Source organism: Homo sapiens, chromosome X (assembly GCF_000001405.40).
Source record: "Homo sapiens chromosome X, GRCh38.p14 Primary Assembly".
Lineage (NCBI taxonomy): Eukaryota > Metazoa > Chordata > Mammalia > Primates > Hominidae > Homo > Homo sapiens.
The window spans coordinates 1,915,937-1,922,799 of record NC_000023.11 but is presented as its reverse complement, the minus strand read 5'-3'; the positions used below and the strand labels follow the sequence as shown (position 1 = coordinate 1,922,799).

Below are 6,863 nucleotides of genomic sequence, written 5' to 3'. Positions count from 1 at the left end.
ACCAACATGGTGAAACCCCATCCCTACTAAAAATACAAAAATTAGCCAGATGTGGTGGTGGGCACATGTAGTCCCAGATACTCCAGGCTGAGGCAGGAGAATCGCTTGAAACTGGGAGACGGAGGCTGCAGTGAGTCGAGATCGCGCCACTGCACTCCAGCCTGGGTCACAGAGTGAGACTCTGTCTCAAAAAAAAAAAAAAAAAAAAAAAAGGAAAGATTATAGGATAAGGACCTGGCACGGTGGCTCACGCCTGTAATCCCAGCACTTTGGGAGGCTGAGGTGGGTGGATCACCTGAGGTCAGGAGTTCGAGACCAGCCTGGCCAACACAGTGAAAGCCTGTCCCTACTAAAAATACAAAACTTAGCTGGGCGTGGTGGCAGGTGCCTGTAATCCCAGGTACTCTGGAGGCTGAGGCAGGAGAATCACTTGAACCTGAGAGGCAGAGGCTGTAGTGAGCCGAGATCATGCCACTGCACTCCAGCCTGGGGTGACAGAGGGAGATTCCTTCTCAAAACAACAACAACAAAACAGATGACTGGAGAAGGAAAACGTAGGGTATAAACAAAGGGGAAAACTCTTGAGCTGTAAGAGTGAAGGAAATCCTGTTGGCTGCTGCAACATGGATGGAATCAGAGGCCATTATGTCAAGAGAAAGAAGCCAGGCACAGAAAGACCAATATCGCACGTTCTCACTCCTAGGTAAGTGCTAAACACTTAGGGGGAAAAATAGATAACAGAGCCCGAGAAGGGTGAGAGAGACGGAGGGAGGAGGATGCAGAGAGGTGGGTTAAAGGCTGCACACATACATTAAGATACGAGGAATGGCCAGGTGCGGTGGCTCACGCCTGTCATCCCAGCACTTTGGGAGGCCGAGGCAGGCGGATCACCTGAGGTCAGGAGTTTGAGACCATCCTGGCCAACATGGTGAAACCCCATCTCTACTAAAAATACAAAAATTAGCGGGGTGTGGTGGTGGGCGCCTGCAGTCCCAGCTACTCAGGAGGCTGAGGAAGCAGAATCGCTTGAATCCGGGAGGCGGAGGTTGCAGTGAGCCGAGATCGCGCCACTGCACTCTAGCCTGGGTGACGGAGGGAGACTCCATCTAAAAAAAAAAAAAAAATAGATACAAGGAATACATTTGGGGTTCCATAGCAGAATAAGGTGTATAGACTTAACACAAAAATACTGTATTCAGGTGATGGATGCCCTGAATACCTAGATCACTACACGTTTTATACATGTAACAAAATTTCTCATGGAACCCCTAAATTTGTACAAAACAAGAAAACACAAAAGCATACCAAAATAAAAAAACTCTACTCTCAACAATTTTGCAATGCACAGTACTTTATTATTAACAAAAATAAAAATAAAATCTACTCTGAACAATTTTGAAAGGCACAGTACCTTATTATTAATTAACAAAAATAAAAATCTACTCTGAACAATTTTGAAAGGTACAATACTTTATTATTAAACAAAAATAAAAATAAAATCTCTGAACAATTTTGAAATGCACCGTACTTTATTATTAAAAACAATAATGAAACCGACCCTGAACAATTTTGCAATGCACAATAATTTATTATTAACAAAAATAAATTAAAAATAAAACCTATACTGAACGATTTTGAAATGCACAGTACTTTATTATTAAAAATATATATATAAAACCTACTGTGAACATTTTTTTTTTTGAGATGGAGTCTCACTCTGTGGCCCAGGTTGGAGTGCAGTTGCACTATCTCGGCTCAGTACAACCTCCGCCTCCCGAGCTCAAGCGACTCTCCTGCCTCCACCTCCCGAGTAGGTGGGATTACAGGCACCCACCACCACACCCAGCTAATTTTTGTATTTTTAGTAGATATGGGGTTTCACTGTGTTGGCCAGGCTGGTCTCGAACTCCTGACCTCAGGCGATCCACTCACCTTGGCCTCCCAAAGTTCTGGGATTACAGGCATGAGCCATCTCGCCTGGCCTTACTCTGAACAATTTTGAAATGCACAGTGATTTATTATTAACAAAAATAAAATTAAAACCTATATTGAACAATTTTGAAACGCACAGTACTTTATTATTAACAAAAATAAAACTAAAAATAAAATCTACTCTGAGCTATTTTGAAATGCACAGTACTTTAGTATTAAAAATATATATAAAACGTATTGTGAACAATTTTTTTTTTTTTTGAGACAGAGTCTTACTCTGTCACCCAGGCTGGAGTGCAGTGGCGTGATTTGGGCTCACTGCAACCTCCATCTCCCGGGCTCAAGCGAGTCTCGTGCATCAGCCTCCCTAGTACATGGGATTACAGGTGAAGCACCACCACACCCAGCTAATTTTTGTATTTTTAGTAGAGACAGGGTTTCACCACGTTGGCCAGGCTGGTCTTGAACTCCTGACCTCAGATAATCCAAAGTGCTGGGATTACAGGCATGAGCCAGCGCGTCTGGCCCTACACTGAACAATTTTGAAATGCACAGTGTTTTATTATTAATTAACAAAAATAAAAATAAAACCTACTCTGAACAATTTTGAAATGCACAGTACTTTATTATAAATTAACAAAAATAAAAATAACCTATACTGAACAATGCTGAAACGCACAGTGGTTTATTATTAATTAACAAAAATAAAACCTACTCGGAACAATTTTGAAATGCACAGTGCTTTATTATTAATTAACAAAAATAAAACCTACTCGGAACAATTTGGAAATGCAGTGTTTTATTATTAATTATGTCACCGTGCTGTGCAATAGTTGTGCAGACCTTATTCCTCCTGTCTAACCAAAACTGAATTATCTGACCAACATCTCTCCCCGTGACCTCCACTAGTCTCTGCTACCCACCCTTCTACTCTGCTTCTGTGAGTTTGACTTTTTTAGATTCCACATAGCAGTGAGACCATGTGCTCTTCATCTTTCTCTCTTTCGTGTGTGTGTGTGTGTGTGTGTGTGTGTGTGTGTGTGTGTGTGTTTTTCCCAAGATGGGGTCTTGCTCTGTCACCCAGGCTGGAGTGCAGTGGCATGATCTGGGCTCACTGCAACCTCCGCCTCCCAGGTTCAAGTGCTTCTCCTGCCTCATCCTCCCAAACAGTTGGAATTACAGGCGCGCGCCACCACGCCCAGCTAATTTTTTGCATTTTCAATAGAGACAGGTTTTCACCATGTTGGCAGTACAGTGGTGCAATCTCGGCTCACTACAGCCTCTTCCTCCCAGGTTCAAGCGATTCTCCTGCCTCAGCCTCCCAAAGATCTGGGATTACAGGTGCGCGCCACCACGCCCAGCTAATTTTTTTGTATTTTCAGTAGAGATGGGGGTTTCACCATGTTGCCCAGGCTGGTCTCCAACTCCTGACCTCAAGTGATCTGCCCGCCTCGGCCTCCTCAAAGTGCTGGGATTACAGGCGTGAGCCACCACGCCTGCCTCTCTCTTTCTTAAGTTGACAGAAGAGGATTGATTTGGCCCAAGTACAAGAGTCACCATGTTGGTCAGGCTGGTCTCAAACTCCCGACCTCAGGTGATCCGCCTGCCTGAGCCTCCCAAAGTGCTGGGATTACAAGCGTGAGCCACCACGACTGGCCTCTGTGTAATTTCTTGCTAACACGGTGAAACCCCGTCTGTACTAAAAGTAGAAAAATTAGCCTGGCATGGTGGCGCACACCTGTTATCCCAGCTACCTGGGAGGCTGAGGCAGGACAATTGCTTGAACCAGAGAGGTGGAGCTTGCAGTGAGCCAAGATCGCACCATTGCACTCCAGCCTGGGCGGCGGAGTGAAACTCCATCTCAAAAAATAAATAAATAAATAAATAAATAAATAAATAAATAAATAATAAATGACAGAAAAAGAAAAAAGAAATTATTTAGGTGGATAGTTAGGGTGAAAGGGCCCCCGGCAAAAAGTTTCCTTCTAGCAAAAAGCAGCTCGTGGCCACGGTGGCTCATGTCTGTAATCCTAGCACTTTGGAAGGCCAAACTCCATCTCTAATAAAATGCAAAAAAAAAAAAAAAAAAAAATTAGCTGTGTGTGATGGCGGGTACCTGTAATCCCATCTACTCAGGAGGCTGAGACAGGAAAATCGGTTGAACCCGGGAGGCGGAGGTTGCAGTGAGCCGAGACTGTGCCACTGCAATCTAGCCTGGGCGACAGAGCGAGACTCCATCTAAAAAAAAAAAAGGCAGCTTGAGAAATTGCTTCCTTTCTAACCACACGCCACTCAAAGAAATCACTTCTCTTCTAACAAAGAGCAGCCTGGAAGATGGAGCCGTAAGTTACAGAAAAGCAGGTCCAGCACAGACCTGTTCGAGACCAGCCTGACCAACATGGTGAAACCCCGTCTGTACTAAAAGTAGAAAAATTAGCCTGGCATGGTGGCACGCACCTGCAATCCCAGCTACTTGGAAGGCTGAGGCAGGAGAATCGCTTGAACCCAAGAAGCGGAGGTTGCAGTGAGCCAAGATCGCACCGTTGCACTCCAGCCTGGGCGACAGAGCGAGTCTCCATCTCAAAAAATAATAAGAAAAGAAAAGAAAAAGAAAAAAATTATTTAGGTGGATAGTTAGGCTCTCATTTCCTAGGTCATCACCAAACTTCACCTATGTACTACAGGTCCCAGTAAAGACAGGGGGCCTGACTGAGCACATTTCTTTCCATTTTTTGGACACACTCAGGTAGGAAAAATCTAAGACAGAGCTCACCGAGATAGGGAAAGTAGGAAAACCTACTCTGAGCAATTCTGAAATGCACAGTGCTTTATTATTCATAAATAAAAATAATGGTAAGCCTATTCCTTTCCCTTTTTCGGGTACATGAAGATAGGGAGGTTGGCATGGGTTGGCAGGGGGATGCCTGGCAGCTGCAAGGAGGTACCAGGGGCCAGGCACGGAAACTCCCCCTCCCCTTTTTAGCACACGGTGGAAGGAGATAGTCAACGTGGAGTAGCTCAAGCTACGAAGATGCCTGTGTGATGAAAGAGTGGGGTGGGGAGACTCAGCCGTATGCACAGACTCAGCCCTATGCAGATGGCACACCTGGTCCTAACCGGTTTTTTGTGCCCTATGTAGCTAAGATACCTCCTGCCCACTAGCTCATTTATAAAAACCCTTACATTTTACTGCGGTACGGCCCCCCCCCTTCTTTTTCTTTTGCCTGCACTCTGCTCCCTTAGAAACGCAGGTGGTTTTTTGTTTCATTTATTTATTTATTTAATTTTTTTGAGATGGAGTCTCGCTCTTGTTGTCCAGGCTGGAGTGCAGGGTCGCGATTTCGGCTCATCGCAACCTCCGCCTCCTGGGTTCAAGCGATTCTCCTGCCTCAGCCTGCGGAGTAGCTGGGATTACAGGCACCCACCACCACGCCTGGCTAGTTTTGTGTTTTTAGCAGAGACGGGGTTTTTCCATATTGGCCAGGATGGTCTCGAACTCCCAACTTCAGGGGATCCGCCCGCCTCGGCCTCCCAAAGTGCTGGGATTATAGGCATGAGCCACCGCGCCTCTGCCTCCCAGGCTCAACTGATCCTCCTGCCTCAGCGCCTTGAGTAGCTGGGATTTACAGGCTCATGCCACCACGCCTGGCGAATTTTTTTTTGTTTTTTGTATTTTAGTAAAGATGGAGTTTTGCCATGACTGGTCTCGAACTCCTCAGCTCAGACAATCTGCCCACCTCAGCCTCCCAAAGTGCTAAGATTACAGGTGTGAGCCACCGCGCCCGGCCTGTAACCTCACTCTTAGTGCATCCAAGTCCTTGATTTCCGTGGCTGTGAGACAAAGAAATTCTGGTGATATCACAGACTATTTCTCTTCTATTTCATAGAACAGACTATTTCTAGTCTATTTCGTAGAACAGACTATTTCTAGTCTATTTCGTAGAACAGACTATTTCTAGTCTATTTCGTAGAACAGACTATTTCTAGTCTATTTCGTAGAACAGACTATTTCTAGTCTATTTCGTAGAACAGACTATTTCTAGTCTATTTCGTAGAAGAGACTAGACTATTTCTCTTCTATTTCGTAGAACAGACTATTTCTAGTCTATTTCGTAGAACAGACTAGGCTATTTCTAGTCTATTTCGTAGAACAGACTAGGCTATTTCTACTCTATTTCGTAGAACAGACTAGGCTATTTCTAGTCTATTTCGTAGAACAGACTAGGCTATTTCTAGTCTATTTCGTAGAACAGACTAGGCTATTTCTAGTCTATTTCGGAGAACAGACTATTTCTAGTCTATTTCGTAGAACAGACTAGGCTATTTCTAGTCTATTTCGTAGAACAGACTAGGCTATTTCTAGTCTATTTCGTAGAACAGACTATTTCTAGTCTATTTCGTAGAACAGACTAGGCTATTTCTAGTCTATTTCGTAGACTAGACTATTTCTAGTCTATTTCGTAGAACAGACTAGGCTATTTCTAGTCTATTTCGTAGACTAGACTAATTCTCGTCTATTTCGTAGAACAGACTAATTCTCATCTATTCTACCGAGCACAGCATGTGCTAGTGAGTTTTTCACCCCTTTACTCCTCCCTCTCGTACTCTCCAGTGCAATGCCCTCATCTTGATGTTGATGGCCCACGGTTTCCATCCCACTCATACATGAGAACATGCAGTATTTGGCTTTCTGTTCCACCCTTAGTTCACTTAGGACTGTGGCCTCTGACTTCATCCGTGTTGCTACAAAAGACATGTGTTTTTTTGTTTGTTTGTTTTGTTTTTGAGATGGAGTCTCGCTCTGTCACCCAGGCTGGAGTGCAGTGGTGCGATCTCAGCTTACTGCAACCTCCACCTCTCAGGTTCAAGTGATTCTCCTGCCTCAGCCTCCCGAGTAGCTGAGATTACAGGCACGTGCCACCACACCTGGC

At 44.5% G+C, this 6,863-nt stretch overlaps 1 annotated feature.

The window, feature by feature from the left end:
* Positions 5,321-5,821: an enhancer, noted in NCBI's record as "H3K4me1 hESC enhancer chrX:2035872-2036372 (GRCh37/hg19 assembly coordinates)". NCBI's record gives its function as "activates a minimal SCP1, AML or CMV promoter by ChIP-STARR-seq in naive H9 embryonic stem cells {active_cell/tissue: H9 hESC(naive)}" and the evidence as "EXISTENCE:reporter gene assay evidence [ECO:0000049][PMID:30033119]".